Here is a 23,846-nt window from a genome sequence, read left to right as displayed (position 1 = left end):
ATTTGGAGACAGGGTCTTTAAGGAGATAATTAAGATAAAATGAGGCCATCAGTATGGATCCTAATCCAATTTGACTGGTGTACTTATAAGAAGAGATTAGGATGCAAACAGGCACAGCAGGAAGATCATGTGAGGATCCAGGGAAAAGGCTACCACCTACAAGCCAAGAAGGGAGGTCTCAGAAGACACCAACCCTGTTAACACCCTGGTCTTGAACTTCCAGCCTCCATAACTCCCAGAGGACAAATTTCTGCTGGTTGGGCCACCCAGTCTCCGGTACTTCGGCATGGCAGCTCTAGCAAGCTAACACAGGCATAGTCAGGTGTCCACAGCAAACTTTTTGTTTTAGAAAACTTGTTATGCCAAATTACAAGCATATACCAAAGTAGACAAAATAGTACATCCATCAACTTCAATCCCATCAACTCATGGCCAATCTTGTTTGATTTCTCTTTCCACCACACTTCCGTCCAACTGGTTTATTTTGAAACATCCCCGGGCATCCTATCACTTCATCCGTGAATACGTCAGTAAAAATTCACAATTATTTCACTTTGATTGAAACTTACTGTATTCCTGTCCGTGAAAAGTGCTTAATGAGCAACGAATGAGTTGCCGCAAACAAAAACGCAGGGTACCGCTTGGCCTATCTTAATCAAGAACTCCTATAAGAATCATTATCATTCGGGCTTTTTTTTTTTCCCAATGCGGAAAGTGAGGCTAAGAAAGGAAAGGTCTGGACCAAAGTCCAACGTCCCTAGGGCCATCGCGCTGCGGGGTGGGCCTAGAACACAGTACCATGCAGCCCGCCGGTGGCTGGGGGAGGAGGGGCTGCAGGAGCCCCGCAGAGGGGTCCTCGCTACGCTTCCACTCTGGGCCCCTAGGCTACTCCGCAGTCTGAACGCGTTACCGGGTCGCATCAGGCCGGAGAAGGGTCCCTCCCGCTCGTCCGTGCGCTCACCTCCGCCGCCGCTCGGAACGCCTACATGTGCGCGCGGCAGGGCGGCCGCAAAGCACGCCGGCCGGGGATCTGGGGGCGGGGACTTCGGGAGGCGGAGCTCGCCGGCCCCGGATCTTGGGATGGGGACTTCAGGGGGCGGAGCTCGCCGGCCGGAGATCTCGGGGCGAGGATTTCAGGGAGGGGAGCTCGCTCGACGGGTCTGGGGGCGGGACTCTTGGGGGTGTGGCTGGGGGGGCCTCAAGGGGATGTCCGTGGGGGGCTCCGGCCGCCGCAGAGGCTCCTTCTCTAACTGTGCACCTTGGGGTGGGTCCGCTAGCACTTCCTCCTCTGCGTTGAAATGCGTCTTTGATTAATACAAAAATTAGCTGGGCGTGGTGGCGCACGCCTGTAGTCCCCAGCTGCTGGGGAGGCTGAGGCAGGAGAATCGCTTGAACCTGGGAGGCAGAGGTTGCAGTGAGCCGAGAATACGCCACTGCACTCCAACCTGGGCGACAGAGCGAGACTCCGTCACACACACACACACACACACACACCCCGGTGTCTTTGATCATGCCACACACACACACACACACACCCCGGTGTCTTTGATCATGCCACACACACACACACACACACACATACCCTGGTGTCTTTGATCATGACACACACACACACACACACCCACCCCGGTGTCTTTGATCATCACACACACACACACACACACACACACACATCCCGGTGTCTTTGATCATGCCGTTGAACCCCCGAAGGAACGGCAGCCCCGCGTGGGTCACCAGGCGGCCTATGGCAGGGCCCCCATCAGAACCCATGCCCATCTGACTGGCCGGCCCGTGTACTTCTCCGTCTGGAAGCGCTCACCCTTGGCGGGGAGCTCTGAGCTTTATGTTTATTACCATGTTCGCTGCCCCCCAAGCTCCTCCCAGGTGCTTCACACTGTACAGTCCACAGAGCAGCGTGCCATCTGTCATTTCTCCTTTCCAGCTGCTCTGTGAGGTAGATGAGGGATCATCTAATCTGTGCACCAAATCCAGCTCTCCACCTGCTTTTGTAAATAAAGTTTTCTTGGAACACAGCCATGCCCAATCCTTTACAGAGGGTGAAAACAGACTGCCTAGGGTTAAAGCCGGGCTCCACCCCTTACTAGCTGTGTGATAAAATGAGTTGGTGTATATGTAACCTGTGCCTCACGGTTTGTGCCGCCTAGCCATTAGCTATTATTATTAAAGTCTGTTCTGTTTCTGAGCCCCCCCCCCCAATTTTGGCTGCTCAGTTGTTTGTATGTAAATAGTGCAATGTGACCTCAGCCAAAGCCAGAATGTGGGACATTCTACAGGGCAAATGACGTGGTTTATCCAACAAATCAATGGCATAAACAGGGAAGGAGGGGGACTCAAAAGAAAAGAGACTTGAGAGTCATTGCAGTTAAATGCAATATGTGACTTTTATTGGGATCCTGAACCAAATAAACTAACTGTAAAAAAGACACCTTGGGCTGGGCGCGGTGGCTTACGCCTGTAATCCTGGCACTTTGGGAGGCCAAGGAGGGCAGATCACCTGAGGTCAGGAGTTCAAGACCAGCCTGGCCAACATGGTGAAACTCCGTCTCTACTAAAATACAAAAATTAGCCAGGCATGGTGGCACACGCCTATAATCCTAGCTATTCAGGAGGCTGAGACGGGAGAATCGCTAAAACCTGGGAGATGGTGGTTGCAGTAAGCCGAGATTGTGCCACTGCACTCCAGCCTGGGTGGCTAAGTGAGACTCTGTCTCAAACAAACAAAGGAACAAACAAACAAACAAAAGGCATCTTGGAGAAATTTGAATTTGGATTTGAATATTAGATGATATTAATGAATTATTGCTTATTTCATCAGATGGGATGATGACATGGAGTTTATATAAACCAAAAAATTCTTACTAGAGATGCATACTGAAGTGTTTACAGGTGAAATGACACAATGTCTACTATTTGATTCAAAATATTCCAACGAAACCAAATCCAAACAACAACAACAACAAAAAAACAGGGGCACAGATGAAACAACATTGACAAAGTGTTAGTTATTGTGAAGCTGCATGACAGGTTCAGGGATCTTCATCATACCATGCTCTACTTTTGTGTGTGTTTGGAAATTTCCATAATAAAAAGTTTAAAAAAATTTTTTAAAGTAGGCTGGCCAGTTGGACTCCATCAAAATGAAAAACTTTTGTGCATGAAAAATACTATCAAGAAAAGTGGAAAGACAATCCACAATAGGAGAAAATATTTACAAATCATAGATCTGATAAGGGTGTAGTATCCAGAATATATAAAGAACTCTTAGCAACTCAACAAGCCAATTAATAAATGGGCAAATGACTTGAGTAGACATTTCTCAAAAAATATATACAAATATATGCCAAAAAGCATATAAAAATGTGCTCACTAGTATCAGTCACTAGGGCTGATCACAGAGCGGCTAGGGAAATGCAAATCACCACAATGAGATATTATTCACAACCACTGGATTTCTATAAGGAAAAAGAAAACCTAGAAAATAATATATGTTGGAGAGGATGTGGAGAAACTGAAACCCTCATACATTGCTGGTGGGAATGTAAAATGGTGCAGCCACTGTAGAAAACAGTTTAGAGCTTCCTCAAAAAGTTAACCTTAAGCTAAGCTAGGCTCAGTGGCTTGTGCCTGTAGTCCCAGCTACTTAGAAGGCCGAGGTGGATTGCTTGAGGCCAAGAGTTCGAGGCCAGCCTGGGGAACATAGTGAGACCCTGTTTTCTAAAAAAAAATAGTAATTTTTTTAAAAAGTTAAACTTAGAATTACCATATGAATCAGCTATCCACTCCTAGAAATATACCCAAAATAATTGAAAACAGGCACTCAAACAAATACTTGTACCTAAATGTTCATAGCAATGCTATTTACACTAGTGAAAATGTAGAAATCAAAATGTTCATCAACTGATGAATGGATAAACAAATTATGGCATAGTTCATGCAACGGAATATTAGTTAGTCATAAAAAAGAATAAATACTGAGCCATGCTACAACATGGATGACCTTACAAACATTATGCTAAGTGAAAGACGCTAGACACAAAAGGACAAAGACTGTATCATTCCATTTATATAAAATGTCCGGAATAGGCAAATCCACTGAGACAGAGAGCAGGTTAGTGGTTGCTAAGGGATGAGGGAGGGGGTAAATGGGAGTGACTGCTAACAGGTACGGGGCTTCTTTTTGCAGTGATGAAATGTTTGTGTATTAGATAGTAGTGATGGTTGCACAACATGGTGAATAGACTAAAACCCGTAAATTTTTACCCTTTACAATGGTTAAAATGGTAAATTTTAAGTAATGTGCATTTAATCTCAATTTAAAAAATGCATATATATGTAGGTTGGCCAATCCTACCGCAGAGCTGATAGAACATTTATCAACCGTTCAACTGAAGCACCTGGGAGAGTTATTTTTCAGGAGTCAGGAGTGAGAACCCATGGGGTAGGCAGGTGTTTTGCCTGAAGCTGGGCTTCCCAGTCAGAGTGTGTGGTCATCTGCATCCCGTGCTTGCAGGTACAACCATCTCCAACAGCTCCTCCTTCATCGCTTTCTGAATATCTGAAATGCTCCCACTTATGTGTTCTTACACTTATTCATTCAGCTCCTACCCTGTGCCAAGTGATGGGGGCAAAACACCGATAAGAAAAAGTCACAGTCCTCCGTAGCTCCCTGATCATTAAAGCAGACACATGAACCCCTGGGAGCAAAGAGTCCTCCCCTCTTCCCTCTGGTAGGGCCACAAAGGAGGTAACGGCCACTTCTCCACAGGGTGGTTCCCGGGTATCTGAACTCTAGAAGACTCTTTGGAATTTATGGGTGGTCAAAGGGGCAGGTTGGAGTGCTTTTCCTGTAGAGACTGGTGAGGTGAGAGTTGGTCCAATCCCAGCTCTCAGCCAGATCCTCTCCTGAGTGCAGAAGTGGATGGCATTGAGAAAGAAGCAGCCACAACAAAACGGGCAAGGCCCCAGAGGGAAGCACCTTGGGTGACTTTAGGTTTAGGAGGCAGGCTCTCAGAGCTGAAGCTTATATGGTTCCAAAACCTCCTTACAACCCTCTAGGTGAGGCCAGAGTGTTGCAAATGTCCAGCCCCGTCAGCACAGGCTGCCCGGCTGCCCGGCTGCCAGCTGGGTGGGAGGCAGCACTGAGCTGCTGCTGTTTGTCGGGATTCAGGAATGGCTGTGACAGATCTCTTGTCCCTTCTCCTCCTCTGCTGGGATTCTCCTTTTCAGGAATGTCCTACTCTAGGTCTGGGGCTGGCTGTGGTCTGCTCCTGCTGTGGAGCCCGTCTTCCCCCTGCCAGGTGGCCCTGGCTGGGGACAACACCCAGGAGTGCACTGCGGGGGTTGTGAATTGGGCCCACAATTGTGCCCATAAATGGTGCTCCTGGGCTGCCAGCCAGCCAGGCATCTTAGCGGCAGAACCCACACACAGGCCCTGGCTCTGCTAGCTGGAGTCTGACTTCTTGCCCCCTCCTCTCTGCTACTTGTGGGTTTGGCCAAACTTCCCGTAAGTGTTTGCTCATTCGTTTATTTTATATTTTGTATTTATTCAGCACTTGCAAACATAAGAAAATAAGATATTTTACTTTAGGGATAAAGTCTTATCTTTTTTTTTTTTTTTTGAGACAGGGTCTCACGCTGTTACCCAGGCTGGAGTGCAGTGGTGCGATCTTGGCTCACTGAAGTTTCCACCTCCCAGGTTCAAGCGATTCTCCTACCTCAGCCTCCCAAGTAGCTGGGATTACAGGTGAGCATCACCACACCTGGCTAATTTTTGTATTGTTAGTAAAGACAGGGTTTCACCATGTTGGCCAGGTTGGTCTTGAACTCCTGACCTCAGGTGACCCGCCTGCCTCGGCCTTCCAAAGTGCTGGAATTACAGGTGTGAGCCACTGTGCCTGGCAGGGATAAAGACTTATCTTACCAGAGTTAAAAAAAAAAAAAAAGGTAGGGTAGGGGGTTCTTAGCTAAGGTGGTAAGGGAAGGCCTCTCCGAAAAGGGTATGTCTATGCTGAAACCTGAGTGAGGGGAAGCATGAGAGGGCTGTATGTGTGGAAAATGTCCTCAGCAGAGGAAATGGCCAGGTCCAAGGCCCAAGGGCAGGAATGGGATTGTGGGCCCAGGGGGCAGAAAGTCCAGTGTGGCTGGATGAGAGGGAAGCCTGAGGGGAAGGTGGGAGGGGACTTTGGGGAGGTGGGCAGGGGCTGGACTGCCACAGTCTTGTAAGCTGGAGTGAGGTCCTTGCATGTTATTCTAATGGCAATGGCAGGTCACTGGTGACCTAGATGAGAGCTGATCTGTGAGGTGAGCAGGAATGTTCGAATGGTTGAAGAGAGAATGGGCAGTGAGGAATATGGACCACTCTTCTGGCTGTGAAGAGGAGTAAAGATGGGGTGATGGTTCAAGGTGCACATGGGGTGCAAGGAGGGCTTCGTTTGTTTTGTTTGTTGCCAGAGAGAGGGACCACTGCAGGAAGGTTCTCCATGGGTAGGTAAGAGGGGATGGGTCCGGGGTAGGGAGGAGGAGGGGGGTCAGGAGCACTTCCTCACTGTAACGGGAGGGAAGCTATGGTCAATGGGCCCAGGCTGGTGAAGTCGTGCTGGGAAGAGAGGTTGTCCTTATTGGATGCTGCTTCTTTTTCCCAGTGATCTATGGAGTGAGGTCATCAGGTGAAAGTGCAGTGGGGACAGAGTAGGGAGGGAGTGGTGAAGGTTTGAAGAAAGCAGAAGAGATGTACATTTCTAGGTGAGGAAAAGAAAGACCTTTCTACCAGGAAAATGAAATGATTGTTGTGTACCGTTGAGTGCCCATTTGGGATCTGGGACAAAACCACAACGTTGGTGAGACAAGTTAGTATGGTTGTGTGATTCTTTCCAACAATGTTGGGATGCTCAGGTACAAGAATAAATAGATGGATAGTTGGGTTTAATTAGAGCTGGGTTTGCCAGTCAAGTACAAAGTGGAGAGAAAGGGGCAAGGTTGGTGAGGGTGTTTGCAAAGAAGTGATGACATAGTGATGGACCATGAACTCTCAGCCAGCAGGGAGGACAGTGAGGGCCTGTGGGGTGTCTATTTTACTTAACACCTAAATGTTACACACCATGTGCCCTGTGCTGCTCCTAAGCACTTTGTTCCTAGACACTTTGCAGAAGGAAGAGATAGCGAGATCATTGGCCTGGTGGAACATAAGGAATGTTCTAATGGGGTCACCATAGTAAGCCAGGTAGAAGTATAAGGAGGTGAGTACAGGGTGGGTGGGAGTCTTGAAATGGACCTTTCAGAGGTGGTATCCATTTGGTGATGACAAGGTCAAGGGCATGTCTGCGGGAGCTGCGGTGAGGTGGAAGAGAAGATGATTAAAAGTTAGGGGGTATATTAATCATTTTTATTTTCTATATTTTATGAAGCTTTGACATCTGGGAGGCCTTACTAATCCTGGAAAGACTGCCCCTCCCAGGGCACTGGTTCCTAGTGATGGCGAATGACTCTCCCATGAGCACGCCTTTCATATGCAAACCAACCAATCCACAGCCCATACCCCAACCACCTCTTTTATTTACTTTTCACACTCCAAGTCAGTATTCTCCTGGCTCTAAATATCCCCAGGATTAGGTACTGGACAACTGGAGAATACCCCTATCCTCCACAGCCCACTGAAAGCATCTTAACTACCCAATCCTACGCTTGCTTCAGTGTGACTACCCTGCCTTGCCTATTCCTTCAAAAAACCACAATGAAGCCTCTGGGCCATGCCTTCCCCTGGCTCCTTCTGCCTCCCTCCTGACTGACCTGGTGTTTCCCCAGGTGGGTGGCTCTGTGTGGCATGGTGTGCCTCCCTCCTCTCAGGAACTGCAAGTAATAAACTATTCTTTCAGTGGCATTGGCCACTGGGGAAAGGGGGAGTGGTAAAGATCAGGGATCACACCACAGCACTGAAACAATTCAAGAATGAGAGGAAGCAACCAGGAAGCTGGTAGATAGCAGCAAGGATGGGGGGTACTGGAATGGTCTGGTGGCATGCGTTTCAAAGGAGCTGGGGTATGTATAGGAGGAAATGGCTGTGGGGAGAAAAGGGAACATGCATTCTGCCCTGATTTCAGGGGAATATGGGGAAGAAAGTGACTTCACTGGAGAGGGCTGTGGTGTCCTCAGCAAAGACAGCCAAGCTTTGCGGAGAGCAAGCAAACGAGAGGAGGTGGGGCGGGGGTTTACTGATGATGGACCAAGCCTGCCAAAGTCACAGTGAAACGGCCCTGGGAGGCCTGCAAGGGTGAGTGACCGGGGCTAGATTAGGGGATAAACAGGAAATGAATACATGGATAAGCCCCCAGGAAACCATGGTTGACACAGCATAAGATGGGTTTAAAAAATTTCTTGGGGGGCTTTTGGACATAAAAGGAATACTTAAGAGTTACTAACATTTTCAGTACTGTATTAAAGCAGTAAGTTTGAATACCCTATGTCTCTTAAACCTAAAGTGCCAATTTACAAATATTGTCATCTTATTAATAAGTCCAGTAATTTTTGTATAAAAAATGAGATTTTTTTCTACTTGTCTTTGATTAACATTCAGTTAATTCCTAGGGTTTACAGATTAAATCTTTCTTAATTATACTGTACCACTTCTGTACTTAATTGATCAAATTTCCTTAGACATTTCAAACCACACTTTCAAATTTAATTTAGCTGATTCTCTTAAATATGTTAACCTGCTGTATTAGTCAGGGTTCTCCAGAGAAACAGAACCAGTAGAATATGTGTGCATGCACACGGGTGTGTGTGTGTGAGTGTGTGTGTGTGCGTGCAAATGTTTATTTAAAGAGACATTATAAGGAATTGGCTCATGCAATTATGGACACTGAGAAGACTCAAGATTTGCAGCTGGCAAGCTGGAAACCCAAGAGGGCTGATGGTGTAGTTCCAGTCTGAGTCCAAAGTGCTAAAAAGGCAGGAGAGCCAAGGCTGAGGCTGAGTCAGAAGGCAGGAGAAGACTGATGTCCCAGTTCTAAGACAGTCAGGCAGAGCAGGAGAATTCCTTCTCACTGTGCCTTTGGTTCTATTCTGGCCTTCAATGGACTGGAGGAGGTGCACCTACACTGGGGAAGGCAACCTGCTTTGCACAGTCCACCAATTCAAATGTTAACCTCATCCAAAACACCCTCACAGTCATGCTCAGAATGTTTAACCAAATATTTGGGTGTCTCTTGGCCCAGTCAAGTTGACACATAAAACTAGCCATCAAGTCTCCCACAGAAAGTAGTGTTTCAAATTTAATAAGTAAAATCTTCCTAAGCCTTAAAGCAACTCTCAAAAATCCAAAAAAAAAAAAAAAAATAGACACAGAAATGTAACAGTTAAGATTCTCTCTCTCTCTCTCTTTTTTTTTTTTTTTGAGGCAGGGTCTTGCTTTGTCACCTAGGCTAGAGTGCAGTTGGCACTAAGACAGCTCACTACAGCCTTGACCTCCTAGGCTCCAGGGATCCTCCACTTCAGCCTCCTGACTACAGACACCTGCTACCATACCCAGCTAAATTGTTCTGTTTTGTTTTGTTCTGTTTTTTTGGTAGAGACGGGGTTTCACCATGTTGCTCAGGCTGGTCTCGGACTCCTGGGCTCAAGTGATCCACCTGCCTCAGCCTCCCAAAGTGCTGGGATTACAGGTGTGAGCCACCGTGCCAGGCCAGATTCTCTTAACTGTTTCAAACATCTTAAAACTGAAGTACATATGAAATGGTGGAATGATTACAGAACTCCTTATTACAGATAAACTAACCAGCATAAATGTATCAATGGAAAATTTGAATAGATTCTTTTATTCTTCCTGGGGTTACAGACATACTCTCCTAACCCAAGGTCACAGAGCCATCATCTCAGGCCGCTTCATGCTGAGGTGCAGTAAGCTGAGCTGCTGGGGGGTCCTCGTGCGCAGGACAGGGGGCCAGAAAGGCTTCCAGGAGATTCATCATAAGCTGGGCTCTATTAGGCTGGGTATCTGTGGGCAGAATTAGACTATCCAAGACTATTTATCTTTTCTGTTATAGTAGGATCCTCCATAAATTTTCTTTGCCTGAGTAGAGCTGTTAAGATTCTGGACCCCCTACTAGGATTGCAATGAATCTTTTAACTGCTTGATTTGCAATAATGAAATTGTGAAGTTGACCAAAACTTGAGTACTTGAATATAGTATGCGTGTAGTTCAGCTTGGTCAATCAACTGTAAACATCATTAAAATATTGTACATGCCTTTCTTCTTCTTTATTTCTTTTCTCTTTCTTTTTGTTTCCTTTAACATGCCTCATACGGCTCTGCAGAGAACTATTGCTTTCTTTCAAATGCGAAAACCATCATACTTTGCTGATTGAGAGTCCCTTTAAGCCGACTTCTTTAGCCTTTAAAACTGCTCTGGATAGTTTTGGAAGCATACTTTCTTTCTGGCAGCAAATTGATGCTTCAGACCCATCTTAATTATCCTTGCTCTAGGATGTAAATTATCCTTGCTCAGATACTTTTCAAGGAACCCTCGTTCCTTTTACTGGGGAACTGCATTTGAGACCAAAATTCCTTTTACTGGGGAACTGCATTTGAGACCAAAATCTGGGTGCTTTGGGCACATGTGAGGTCACTCTATTTGATGCTGGGAGTGAGTGACAGCACAGTAGGCCACATGAGAGGCAGACCCAGAAAAAAATATATATATATAAATTTATCTTTATTTTTATTATTTTTTTTTTGAGACAGAGTCTTGCTGTATCACCCAGGCTGGAGTGCAGTGGCGTGATCTCAGCTCACTGTAACCTCTGCCTCCTGGGTTCAAACAATTCTCCTCCCTCAGCCTCCCAAGTAACTGGGACTGCAAGCATGTGCTACCATGCCCAGCTAATTTTTCATATTTTTAGTAGAGATGGGGTTTCACTATATTGGCCAGGCTGGTCTTGAACTCCTGACCTCGTGATCTGCCCACCTCGGCCTCCCAAAGTGCTGGGATTACCGGCGTGAGCCACCGCACCTGGCCCAAGATATATTTTTTAAATGTCAAGGGATCATATCATTGTTTTCAGTTTAACTCAACTGATAATTCAAACCTGTTCAAATATATAAAGATTTTCATTTTTTTGGTCTTCTCTGAGATACTAGCTTCTCTTATTGCCAAGTACACAATATCCTTTTACTAACTGCAACCTGCCATGCTCTATATTGTGACCCTCAGAGACCGAATCCAGTCCTGGATTCCTTGCTGGCCTGCGCTGTACCTCCACTTCACCCTCTTGCTCCTTATTTTTCCATCAGCTATCATTCCTTAGTATCTTTTTGACATCAGAAGCTGGGAATTCTGGTGATGACTGTAGTGTGAATTGTTTGAGTAAAACCGACTCATTGAGTGATAAATAAAATGACTTTTTTCCCCTGTGAACCTCATCTGACTGGAGAAATGACTTTATTTTTCCAGTGATTGCTGTAAACTGCCAGATGTCCAGCTTACTAGCAGCTTTCCTCAATGATGCAGTCTGTAATTTGTTAGTCAATATCAGTTGCTAACACAGTCTGATTTTGGTTAAAACTCAGTCTTATTGTCTGCTTTAAAACTTCACTCTCATATTTCACCCAGGGCTGCCCCTACCACATCAGCACCTCACTCCCAGGGTAGACTAAACTTGCTGTTCCAATGGCTTGGAGCCAGGGGTGGGATTGGGGTGCTCTCTCACCGATTGCTCTTTTCCTAGGGCTTCTTTTTTTTTATTTCTTCTAAAAAAAAAAAGGGATACATGTGCAGAATGTGCAGGTTTGTTACATAGGTATATGTGTCACGGTGGTTTGCTGCACCTATTAACCTGTCCTCTAAGTTCCCTCCCCTCACCCGCCACCCACCAACAGGCCCTGGTGTGTGTTGTTCCCCTCTCTGTGGCCATGTGTTCTCATTGTTCAACTCCCACTTATGAGTGAGAACATGGAGTATTTGGTTTTCTGTTCCTGTGTTAGTTTGCTGAGGATGATGGCTTCCAGATTCATCCATGTCCCTGCACAGGACATGATCTCATTCCTTTTTATGGCTGCAGAGTATTCCGTGGTGTATAGTACCACATTTTCTTTATTCAGTCTATCATTTATGGGCATTTAAGTTGGTTTCACGTCTTTGCTATTGTAAACAGTGCCGCAATAAAAATACGTGTGCATGTGTCTTTATAGTAGAATGATTTATATTCCTTTGGGTATACACCCAGTAATGGGATTGCTGGGTCAAATGGTATTTCTGGTTCTATATCCTTGCAGAATCACCACACTGTCTTCCATATTGGTTGAACTAATTTACTTTCCCACTAACAGTGTAAAAGCGTTCCTATTTCTCCACAGCCTTGTCAGCATCTATTGTTTCCTGACTTTTAATAATCGCCATTCTGATTGGTGTGAGATGGTATCTCATTGTGGTTTTGATTTGCATTTCTCTGATGATAAGTGATGTTGAGCTCTTTTTCATGTTTGTTGGCTGCATAAATGTCTTCTTTTGATAAGTGTCTGTTCATATCCTTTGCTCACTTTTTGATGGGGTCATTTGTTTATTTTCCTGTAAATTTAAGTTCCTTGTAAATTCTGGATATTAGACCTTTGTCAGATGGGTAGATTGTAAACATTTTCTCCCATTCTGTAGGTTGTTCACACTGACGATAGTTTCTTTTGCTGTGTAGAAGCTCTTTAGTTTAATTAGATCCCATTTGTCAATTTTGGCTTTTGTTGCCATTGCTTTTGGTGTTTTAGTCATGAAGTCTTTGCCCATGCCTATGTCCTGAATGGTATTGCCTAGGTTTTCTTCCAGGGTTTTTGGGTTTTACATTTAAGTCTTTAATCCATCTTGAATTAATTTTTGTATAAGGTGTAAGGAAGGGGTCCAGTTTCAGTCTTCTGCATATGGCTAGCCAGTTTTCCCAACACCATTTACTGAATAGGCGATCCTTTCCCCATGGCTTGTTTTTGTCAGGTTTGTCAAAGATCAGATGGTTGTAGATGTGTGGTGTTATTTCTGAGGTTTCTGTTCTGCTCCATTGGTTTTTATATATCTGTTTTGGTACCAGTACCATGCCGTCTTGGTTACTGTAGCCTTGTAGTATAGTTTGAAGTCAGGTAGCGTGATGCCTCCAGCTTTGTTCTTTTTGCTTAGACTTGTCTTGGCTATACAGGGTCTTCTTTGATTCCATATGAAATTTAAAATTTTTTTTTCTAATTCTGTGAAGAATGTCAATGGTAGTTCCATAGGAATAGCATTAAATCTATAAATTACTTTGGGTAGCATGATCGTTTTCACGATATTGATTCTTCCTACCCATGAGGATGGAATGTTTTTCCATTTGTTTGTGTCCTCTCTTATTTCCTTGAGAAGTGGTTTGTAGTTCTCCTTGAAGAAGTCCTTCAAGTCCCTTGTTGGCTGTATTCCTAGGTATTTTCTTCTCTTTGTAGCGACTGTGAATGGGAGTTCATTCATGATTTGGCTCTCTGCTTGTCTATTGCTGGTATAAAGGAATGCTTGTGATTTTTACACATTGATTTTGTATCCTGAGACTTTGCTGAAGTTGCTTATCAGTTCAATGACAGGGTTTTCTAAATATAACATCATGTCATCTGCAAACAGAGACAATTTGACTTCCTCTCTTCCTATTTGAATACCCTTTATTTCTTTCTCTTGCTTGATTGCCCTGGCCAGAACTTCCAATACTATGTTGAATAGGAGTGGTGAGAGAGGGCATCCTTGTCATGTTCTGGTTTTCTTTCTTTCTTTTTCTTTTCTTCTTTTTTTTTTTTTTTGAGACAGCGTTTCACTCTTGTTGCCCAAGCTGGAGTGCAAATGATACAGTCTCGGCTCACTGCAACCTCCGCCTCCCAAGTTCAAGCAATTCTCCTGTCTCAGCCTCATGAGTAGCTGGGATTACAGGCATGTGCCACCACACCTGGCTAATTTTGTATTTTTAGTAGAGACAGGGTTTCTGCATGTTGGTCAGGCTTGTCTTGAACTCCCAACCTCAGGTGATCCACCCGCCTCAGCCTCCCAAAGTGTTGGGATTACAGGTGTGAACCACTGCAACCGGCCTTGTGCCGGTTTTCAAAAGGAATGCTTCCAGCTTTTGCCCATTCAATATGATGTTGGCTGTGGGTTTGTCATAAATAGCTCTGATTATTTTGAGATATGTTCCATCAATACCTAGTTTATTGAGAGTTTTTAGCGTGAAGGGATGTTGAATTTTTTCAAAGGCGTTTTCTGCATCTATTGAGATAATCATGGAGTTTCTGTCTTTGGTTCTGTTTATGTGATGGATTATGTTTATTGATTTGTGTATGTTGAACAAGCCTTGCATCCCAGGGATGAAACCGATTTGATCGTGCGGATAAGTTTTTTGACGTGCTGCTGGATTCGGTTTGCCAGTATTTCACTGAGGATATTCACATCAATGTTCATCAGGGATATTGGCCTGAAGTTTTCTTTTTTTGTTGTGTCTTTCCCTGGTTTTGGTATCAGGATGATGCAGGCTTCACAAAATGAGTTAGGGAGGAGTCCCTCCTTTTCAATTGTTTGGAATAGTTTCAGAAGGAATGATAGTACCAGCTCCTCTTTGTATTTCTGGTAGAATACAGCTGTGAATCCATCTGGTCCTGGGCTTTTTTTGATTGGTAGGCTATTAATTACTGCCTTACTTTTAGAACTTGTTATTGGTCTATTCAAGGATTCGACTTCTTCCTAGTGTAGTCTTGGGAGAGTGTATGTGTCCAGGAATTTATCCATTTCTTCCAGATTTTCTAGTTTATTTGCGTGGAGGTGTTTATAGTATTCTCTGATGGTAGTTTGTATTTCTGTGGGGTCAGTGGTGATATTCCCTTTGTAATTTTTTATTGTGTCTATTTGATTCTTCTCTCTTTTCTTCTTTGTTAGTCTAAAGTGGTCTATTTTGTTAATTTAAAAAAAACAGTTACTGGATTCATTTATTTTTTGGAGGGTTTTTCATGTCTCTATCTCCTTCAATTTTTCTCCGATCTTAGTTATTTCTTGTCTTATGCTAGCTTTTGGATTAATTTGTTCTTGCCTCTCTAGCTCTTTTAATTGTGATATTAGGGTGTCAATTTGAGATATTTCAAGCTTTCTGATGTGAGCATTTAGTGCTATAAATTTCCCTCTTCACACTGCTTTAGCTGTGTCCCAGAGAAGCTGGTATGTTGTCTCTTTGTTCTCGTTGGTTTCAAAGAAATTCTTGATATCTGCCTTAATTTCATGATTCACCCAGGAGTCATTCAGGAGCAGGTTGTTCAATCTCCAGGTAATTGTGTGGTTTTGAGTGAGTTTCTTAATCCTGAGTTCTAATTTGATTGCCCTGTGGCCTGAGAGACTGTTTGTTATGATTTCAGTTCTTTCGCATTTGCTGAGGAGGGTTTTACTTCCAGTTATGTGGTCGATTTTAGAATAAGTACCATGTGGCACTGAGAAGAATGTATATTCTGTTGATTTGAGTAGAGAGTTCTGTAGATGTCTACTAGGTCCACTTGATCCAAAGCTGAGTTCAAGTCCTGATTAGCCTTGTTAATTTTCTGTCTCATAGATCTGTCTAGTACTGACAGTGAGATGTTAATGTCTCCCCCTATTATTGCGTGGGAGTCTAAGTCTCTTCACAGGTCTCTAAGAACTTGTTTTATGAATCTGGGTGCTCCTGTATTGGGTGCATATATATTTAGAATAGCTAGCTCTTCTTGTTGAAGAAGAAGGGCACCTCAGCCTGAAGCAGGGGTGAGGACTTCTGGAAGGTGGGGGGTGGGGAGGTTTGGGTGCATAACAGATCCATTGGCACCCCAAGGATGGCCAGCTTGGAGCTTCAGGCAGTGGTGAGCTTGGGAGTAGCCTGTCCCTAGATTCAGCCTCAAATGAGGTCAACTTCCACCACCAGGGACAGTAAGCACAAAAAAAGCACCCCACATTTGGTGGGCCTCTAGCTTTTGAGATATTGACAGCTGGACCTGAGACAGGGCACACACTCTGTGTGTGTATATGTATTTGTGTGTGTGTGTGTGTGTGTGTGTATGTGTAAAGCTTGCACTATTGGTTATGGGGGTGTGTGGGAGGGATAAGCATTCTTTGACTACCTTATATATACACCTCAAAGTGCATTGCTTCCTTGAAAAGTCTTTTCACAGTGGTTTTAACAAACTTCCTGTAAACAGAGTATCAGAAATGAAATACTTTTCTAAGAACACACCACTTTTAGAGAATGGGTCACCAGACCCCTGGGTCCATGCCTTGGCCAAGATCTGATCAGGCTTTTTGGTGGTAAGAAGCAGAGTCACTTAAGCTTTTTCAGGACAGAGGTGGTTTTCAGGTTGGGCCCTGTTCCAGGGGCTGGCTGGGAACGGGGGCAGGAACTCAGCAATGGGTGTGCTTGGGTTCTATCCCAGCTTGCTTCTTGCTATCTCTTGGTGCATCTACTTTTTTCCTCGTGTTTTCCAAACACCAAAAACCCACTTCTTCTTTGCCTACAACTTCAGTCACTCATGGCCCATCGCAGCTGCCCCGCCCAATTTCTCCATTTTATAACTGTCCAGCTTCTGTCCTTGTTGCTAACTTGCTTGGTCTCTCTCTACTTCCTGGTCTAAATTCCTGAAAGAAGGGATAAGGTAAGCTCAGCCTGTCTTGTAATGCCAGACTATCAGTTTCTGGCCTGCCTGGCTTGCTCTGATGGGGCTCATGGTGAGGAGGAAGGGGAGGGGTGCTGTGGCTCTCCCTCACGGTAAGGGGCTGCCCATTTTCTTGGTGCTCCCAGGCCTCCTGCAAGATGTCCTCCAGGAGAGGTAGGTCTCCTTGCCTTCATGTTGAAACACCTCTCTGTGATGCCATCTAGTGAGAGAGAGCAGGAGGCCAGTGGTCTTAATCCAAAAGGGAAGGCTGCATGGTTTGGGCAAAGAGACCTGAGAGGGATGTCTCCATATCTTTGGAAGAGACATGAGTAGCCCTGGGCCAAGTCCATTCCCCTACCTTCAGGGAGTCCATACTCTAATCATCTCCACTCTTTAAACATTTACCGAAACCCATCCTCAAAACCCTGCTGGAAGAGAGAGACTTTGTGTGTGTGTGTGTGTGTGTGTGTGTGTGTGTGTGTTTTGAGAAAGAGTCTAACTCTGTCACCCAGGCTAGAGTGCAGTGGTGTGGCGATAATGGCTCACTGCAGCCTTGACCTCGTGAGTTCAAGCAGTTTTTCTACTTCAGCCTCTTGGGTAGCTGGGACTGCAAGCACGTGCCACCATGCTTGGCTAATTAATTTTTTTGTAGAGACGAAGTCTCACTATGTTGCCCAGGCTGGTCTCAAACTCCTGGGCTCAAGCGATGCTCCTGCCTTAGCCTCCCAAAGTGCTAAGGCACTTCAGACTGTGAGCCACCACGCCTGGCCTAGTGTTCTTTAGTGCAATGCTCCATCTCCTTCACCATCTGGAGAGTTCTCTTTCATGCATAGATCCCAACATAGCTATTGGAGCACAGGAGATGAATGGGTGGAGGGTAGAAAGGATAACTGAAGAAGATGCAGTGGTGAGTGAGGACTCAGCTTCACTCCCTTAACAAATAAATATTGTGATCCTAATAACAGCTAATATTTATTGTGTATTTATTGTGCATTGTGCTACCAGGATGATCTCATTTAACCTCACAACAATTCTATGACGTCAATACTGTTACTTCCCCTTCTTTAATAAAAAGCAAGGAAACTGCATGGACTTGATAAATTTACAGAGATTCCACCAATACTTACCAGGGTGGGGCTAGACGACATTCCATGTCCTTCCATCTCGGATGTTCTGGATTCTAAATTTTATCTATTAGAACCAACTCCTATATTTTTTATAGCAAATAGACTCTATGAACATACTTGTCCGTGAAAATGTAAATGAATATTAGATACATAGTTTTCACATTTCTTTTATATTCCTTAATTCAACAAACATTATTGCTATTGTTTTGAGACAGGGTCTTGCTCTGTTGCCCAGGCTGGAGTGCAGTGGCACAATCTTGGCTCACTGCAGCCTCAGCCTCCTGGGGTCAAGTGATCCTTCCATCTTACCCTCCCCAGTAGCTGGGACCACAGATGTGCACCAACACACCTGGCTAATCTTTTTTGTATTTTTTGTAGAGATGGGGTTTTGCCATGTTGCCCAGGCTGGTCTTGAATGCCTGAGCTCAAGCAATCCGTCCACCTCGGTCTCCTAAGGTGCTGGGATTACAGACATGAGCCACTGCACCTAGCCAATTTTTAAAAAATTGAGACAGGGTCTTGCTCTGTTGCCCAGGCTGGAGTGTGGTGGCATAATGTCGGCTTACTGCAGCCTTGACCTCTCAGGCTCAAGTGATCCTTCCACCTCAGCCTCCCAAGTAGCTGGGCATGGGCCACCATGCCCGGCCAATTTTTGTGTTTTTTGTAGAGGCAGGTTTTCACCATGTTGCCCAGGGTGGTCTTGAACTCCTGGGCTCAAGGGATCTACCTGCCTCAGCCTCCCAAAGTGCAGGGACTACAGGTGTGAGCCACCATACCCAGCCTCAAAAAACATTTATTGAGAGCCTGCATTGTGCCAAACATCTTGCTGCATGCTGGGGATACAGAAATGAGTAAGACATGGCTGCTGCTGGGTGGGGCAAACTTGCCAGCTGATTTCTTTAGAGCAAAGGACATTTGCTAATTTGTATTTTTTTCTATATTACATGTTTTAAAGAATAAGCAATTAAGTAAAATACAAATATCATCACATAATATCTTTACTCTTAGAGACTCCAAAGCTGAAAGTTTAAATAAAAAGTTAAAAAATGTAAATCTGTAATATTTTCATTGATTACCATGTAGTAGAGAGAAGAGTGGACTGGGTACCAGGATCATGGCTCACTGCAGCCTTGACTACCTGGGCTCAGGTGAGCCTCCCACCCCAGCCCCCCAGGTAGCTGGGACTACAGGTACACACCACCACGCCTGGCTAGGCAACGAAACCTTTGCAGGAAACCAAGATCCTGCCCAAACCTGGCTCTTCTGCTAATTGGGTAAGTCCATGAAGCTTTCTGGGCCTGAGTTTCTGCATAAAATCACACTAATAACAGCTACTTTATGTCTTAGAATGTTTTGAGGATCATTGAGAAAATACTTCACAAACCGGAAGTTCTAGAAAGGAAAGCAATAATAATCACTTCTAAAATGAAGCTGCTTGGCCAGGCATGGTGGCTCATGCCTGTAATCCCAGCACTTTGAGAGGCTGAGGCGGGTGGATCACTTGAAGTCAGGAGTTTGAGACAAGCCTGGCCAATATGGTGAAACCCCATCTGTACTAAAAATAGAAAAATTAGCCGGGCGTGGTGGCGGGTCCCTGTAATCCCAGCTACTTGAGAGGCTGAGGCAGGAGAATCGCTGGAACCTGGGAGGCAGAGGTTGCAGTGAGCCGAGATTGTGCCACTGCACTCCAGCCTAGGTGACAGAGCAAGACTCTGCCTCAAAAGAAAAAAAAATGAAGTGACTGCAGTGAAGTATCCCGATTCTTCGGTTACAGGTATCTTTGGCCTTAGAAGGAGAATGGCATGATAACCCGAGTTAATGCAAGACAGGGGAACTGGCAGGTCTTCAGAAACAGCTGTTGAACCCAGGGATACTCATTCCCTTGGCCAGCCCCTGATTATGGCCATGGTCTCTAAGGAACCCGGATGATTGATCCCATAGGGAGTCCCCAAACATCACGTGGTCAACGATTTCACCGAAGGAACTTTTTCTGATGGACTCATTATGGAAGAAAATACATATAAGCCTTCTTTGCCTTTTCCACCTAAAAGTGGTCTGAAACAAGGAAGAAAAGCACAGATGATGATCTGATAAATATTATTTGGAAGTCGATTTGGTGGAAACGGGTTACAACTTGGGAGTCAGGAGAGGCCTTTCTTGTGGCAACCACCAGGTGGCACCAGATCCCCAACACAGTCAATACAATCTTTCCAAGGGGCCACGACCTTTTCAACCTGGGGAGAGCAGGGAAATAAGAGAAATTGGCTCTTGTTTATAGGTGGGGAAACTGAAATGGACATAAGTACATGCACTGACATGGGAACAGGCTCAAAGTCTGGAGCCAGAAAGTTCACACCAACAATGCAATGTGGGGCACCCAGCAAGAAAGGGAGATTGGGTAGGTGGAAGTAGCCAGGGATTCAGTAGCTGCTGGTTGGATGTTGGTGAACGAAGTGATGTGCACAGCATGGTATTAAGCGTGGATGCTGAGGGAAGCAATTCCCTGAACAAACATTGCCTGGGCCCTTCCTCTCCACAGAAGCAGGGACTAGGTAGGCCTTGCCTCAGAGGTCAGTACAGGGGCCAAGGGGCAGAGGCCTGGGGAAACCTTAGGTGAGAAGGACACTAAGCAAGAAGGTGGTGAGGTCATAGGGAATAGCATGTGCAGAGGCCCAGGGGTGCGGACGAGTGGGTTATGCTTCGGAAACTGCTAGTAGGTCAGGCCAGTGACTGGTTAATGTGGAGGAGGAATGCAGAGGAGCACATGGGAGCCCTTGGGGGCCTTAAAAATTACCCACAAGAAGGATAAACCAGAAACTAAAGAGATGGTTGCCCACAGTGGGAAGGGTGGGTACCCATGGGGCAGCAAGATGGCGGAATGGAGATGGATTGGGAATGAGAAGGAATGATACTTCTCTGAGTATCTTTGTATTTAGAGCCATCGTAATGTTCCACGTACCCTGAAATAAATAATTAAACCCAACTAGCGTGTAGGGGAACCCAAGATGAAATACAAACAGTAACACATGAACCTAACTCATATGAAAACACAACCACACTGATGGGAGTAGGAGACAAAGAAAGCAACAGAACCAGCCCAGGCAATTCGGGAACCAGTATTTTAACTGGACTCTATAAAGCCAAAGTAAAAAGGACACCAATACTGTAATGTAGTTAGTAAATGTGTTTCTCGCAAGGAGATGTGTTAGCAAATGGGATGTTACTTTACGGATACACCAAGCAACACATAAGGTAATACATCGTAGATGATGGGAGCTAAGCTGCTCACTGTAGGGGAAAGAAGTTACAATTAAGGAAAGGAGGAAGGCCAAAACAAACCCCAGGTGTTGGACTGGAATTGGAAGCATCAGTATCAATGCGTTTTTTTTTTTTTCTTTTTCTTTTTTTTTTTTGAGACAGGCTCTCATTCTGTCACCAGGGCTGGAGTGCAGTGGTGTGATCATGGCTCACTGCAGCCTCGACTTCCTGGGCTCAGGTGATCTTTCCACCTCAGCCTCCCAGGTAGCTGGGACTACAGGTGTTTGCCACCATGCCTGGCTAAATTTTCTGTATTTTTGTATTTTTAGTAGAGATGAGGTTTTGCCATGTTGCCCAGGCTGGTCTCAAACTCCTAGGCTCAAGCGATCTGCTCACCTTGGCCTTCCAAAGTGCTAGCATTACAGGCGTGAGCCACCACGCCTGGCCATAATTCATGTTTTTTGATATATATACAAGACATAAAGATAGAGAGATGAAAATGTGTGTGTGTGTGTGTGTGTGTGTGCGTGTTGAGGGGGGCTCAGTATAAATACTTGTATTTTCTAGCTCTGGCCACTGAGAGGGCTCGGAAGCAATTGGACCACAGTAGCAACAAGTACCAGTTGCTGTAGCAGGTCTTGATTTCTAAATGCCATTCTCCAGTGAAAGGAACCAGGGCTCCTTGGAGAAATGGTTGATTCCAGGGCTGACGTGGGAAAGATACAGATGAGTCTGGAATATACTGTGATGCTGGAAGGTAAAGATGTGCTTAGGAAAGGTCGAGGATGCACTGAAAGGTCAGAGGTGTAACCTGAGGGGCTCCCAATGGCCAGAGCTGGAACAATTTGAGAACAAAATAAACAACGGTAGTGTTGGATTATAACCTATATAATAAAATAAATGTCCATGATTCCATGCTGATATAAAAATCTACTGAATAAAGAAGTAACTAAATGACGGTGAGGGACAGCTCATGGACATTATCATTAAGTGGACATCATGGTAATGGTTGTGGCAGACAAGACCCACTCACCAATGGATGCTAAAGTGGGAATTCATATAAAGATACGTAGATACAGAGTGGGAAAAAAGCTGAGGAGAAACAGGATGTTTGCATAATCTCAAAGTCTCTCCCCATGATTATATTAATGTCCCAGTGGAGAAACTTGGCAGACACCACTTTAGCCAAGCAACCAAGGTAAACATCACCAGTAAGAAGACATATCGACATCACAAGCCCCTTGATAAGATGCACCAAGAAGGACATAACGCTTCTGTGGAATTCTTGCAAAAATGCATAACCTCACCCTAGTCTTGGGAAAGCATTAGACACACACACACTCTGAAGGCCAGTCTACAAAACAACTGTCAAAGGTGTCAAGGTCACAAATGATGAGAAAAGACTGAGGGACTGTCACAGATGAGGAGAAGAAGGGGACACGTTGACCAATCGCAGTGTGGACTCCTGGAACACTGAACGGACATTACTCAATAAAGCTGTACCGATTGTAATTTCCTGTTTCTGATCATTGTCACGCAGGAGATGTTAATGTTAGAGGAATCTGAGTAAAATATAGATGGCAACTTTCTGTACTATTTTGCAAGTTTTCCTTTAGTTTAAAAATATTTCTAAATAAAAAGTTTTTAAAAAATGACTGATGCTTATGTCCTGCCCTGTGAGTGAAGGGCAACTTTCATGTTTGAGCTCTTGTTTTATGCCAGGTATACTCTGCACATTTCCTAATTGAATCCTCACAACCCCATGTAAGGTGAGCACTTGTCTTTGCATGAGGGGAAAATGAAGTTCAGAAATGTTAAGAAGGCCACATAGTGAGTAAGAGCAGGACTGGGATTCAGAATCAATGAGTTAATGAAGACTACAAACATACAGTCTGATACCAGCTATTTAAATGTATTCATAGAAAAATGAGTGGAGGGAATACATCCAAATATATTTGGATAATTTTGGGTTATTATAACACAACCCAAATGTCATCAGCCTTCCTGGCCTGTGCATATGAAGGCAGTCATGTTCACAAACACAATACTGAGGCCTGGTTTTTACTGACATGTGTTCACTGGAACTCCTGGCTCCCTTGCAGTGACCTCCTGCTCCAGGTGCTTCTGTGAGTTCCCAGGAGGATGCTTCCTCCTGGGAAACTGGTGCAAGCTCTAGTCACCTCACAGTGTCCTCTCCAGGTCCAGGTCCCCTGCCACTGTCTGCCACCTGCACAGCTATGTGGGGAGCCAGCATTCATACCAGTATTGCTCTTCCAAAGCCAAATCTAGTGATGCCCCAGGGATGGAGGGGGCTGCTTCTGCAGAGGTGGGAGAGCATCCCCTCCCCAAAACCAGTCTCCCACCACACCACACCTCCAAAAGACCCCCAGAAACAGCTGCCAGTGCCCGGCTCTTAGTCTCTCATCACATGTTGCTCAGAAGCATTCCGGCACTAAACACCGCACCAAGAAGCTAACAACGCTGTCATCATCCTAACTCCATTTTATTTTTAAATATAAGATTTATAATTATCACTTAAAAGATATATACATCCTCTACATTTCATTTTTTTATCCAGAAACTTTAATTGCAGAGATGGCTGGCATGTAAATGGACGCAAGGGGCCACAGTGGCCCACGGAAAGCAAATGGAAGGGACTGACCTACTGGTGACTTTCATTCTAGAATCAGGTATGTGTTGAGTGCTTTGCCCCGCAGGTTCCTCATCTCCTCGAGCAGCTTCTCTCCGGCCTTCTCTGCTGGTTGTGCTTGATCTTTCACTTCTCTGAGTATCAAAAAACCCAAG

The 23,846-nt window shown here is 44.9% G+C and overlaps 2 protein-coding genes across 16 annotated transcripts in view, besides 1 other annotated feature; both read right to left on the bottom strand.

Annotated features, from left to right (window-relative positions):
• The window catches only part of TMEM177 (transmembrane protein 177), a 44,418-nt gene extending 43,432 nt beyond the window's left edge, over window positions 1-986 (bottom strand). For 7 of the 13 annotated variants that reach the window (XR_007082535.1, XR_002959349.2, XR_007082536.1 and 4 more), the window contains exon 1: window positions 962-986. The gene's annotated coding sequence lies outside the window, so the exon portion shown is untranslated. Of the gene's footprint in view, window positions 1-569 lie in introns of all 13 variants that reach the window. The other 6 variants (NR_148341.2, XR_007082531.1, XR_002959346.2 and 3 more) reach the window with 2 other exon arrangements.
• Window positions 910-1,139: a silencer, noted in NCBI's record as "silent region_11910". NCBI's record gives its function as "represses an Ori minimal core promoter by ATAC-STARR-seq in GM12878 lymphoblastoid cells {active_cell/tissue: GM12878}" and the evidence as "EXISTENCE:reporter gene assay evidence [ECO:0000049][PMID:35858748]".
• Window positions 19,864-23,846, bottom strand: part of CFAP221 (cilia and flagella associated protein 221) — a 115,875-nt gene continuing 111,892 nt past the window's right edge. For 2 of the 3 annotated variants that reach the window (NR_073132.2, NM_001271049.2), the window contains one exon: window positions 23,526-23,825. Coding sequence is in view for 2 of the 3 variants with exons in the window: in NM_001271049.2 (NP_001257978.2) it covers window positions 23,717-23,825 (109 nt within the window). In the remaining variant the exon portion in view is untranslated. Of the gene's footprint in view, window positions 20,018-23,525; window positions 23,826-23,846 lie in introns of those variants that run through there. The other variant, XM_006712353.4, reaches the window with a different exon arrangement.

The sequence above is a fragment of the Homo sapiens genome, chromosome 2, assembly GCF_000001405.40.
Source record: "Homo sapiens chromosome 2, GRCh38.p14 Primary Assembly".
Lineage (NCBI taxonomy): Eukaryota > Metazoa > Chordata > Mammalia > Primates > Hominidae > Homo > Homo sapiens.
The sequence above is the reverse complement of the archived record's forward strand: the minus strand, read 5'-3'. Positions and strand labels throughout refer to the sequence as shown.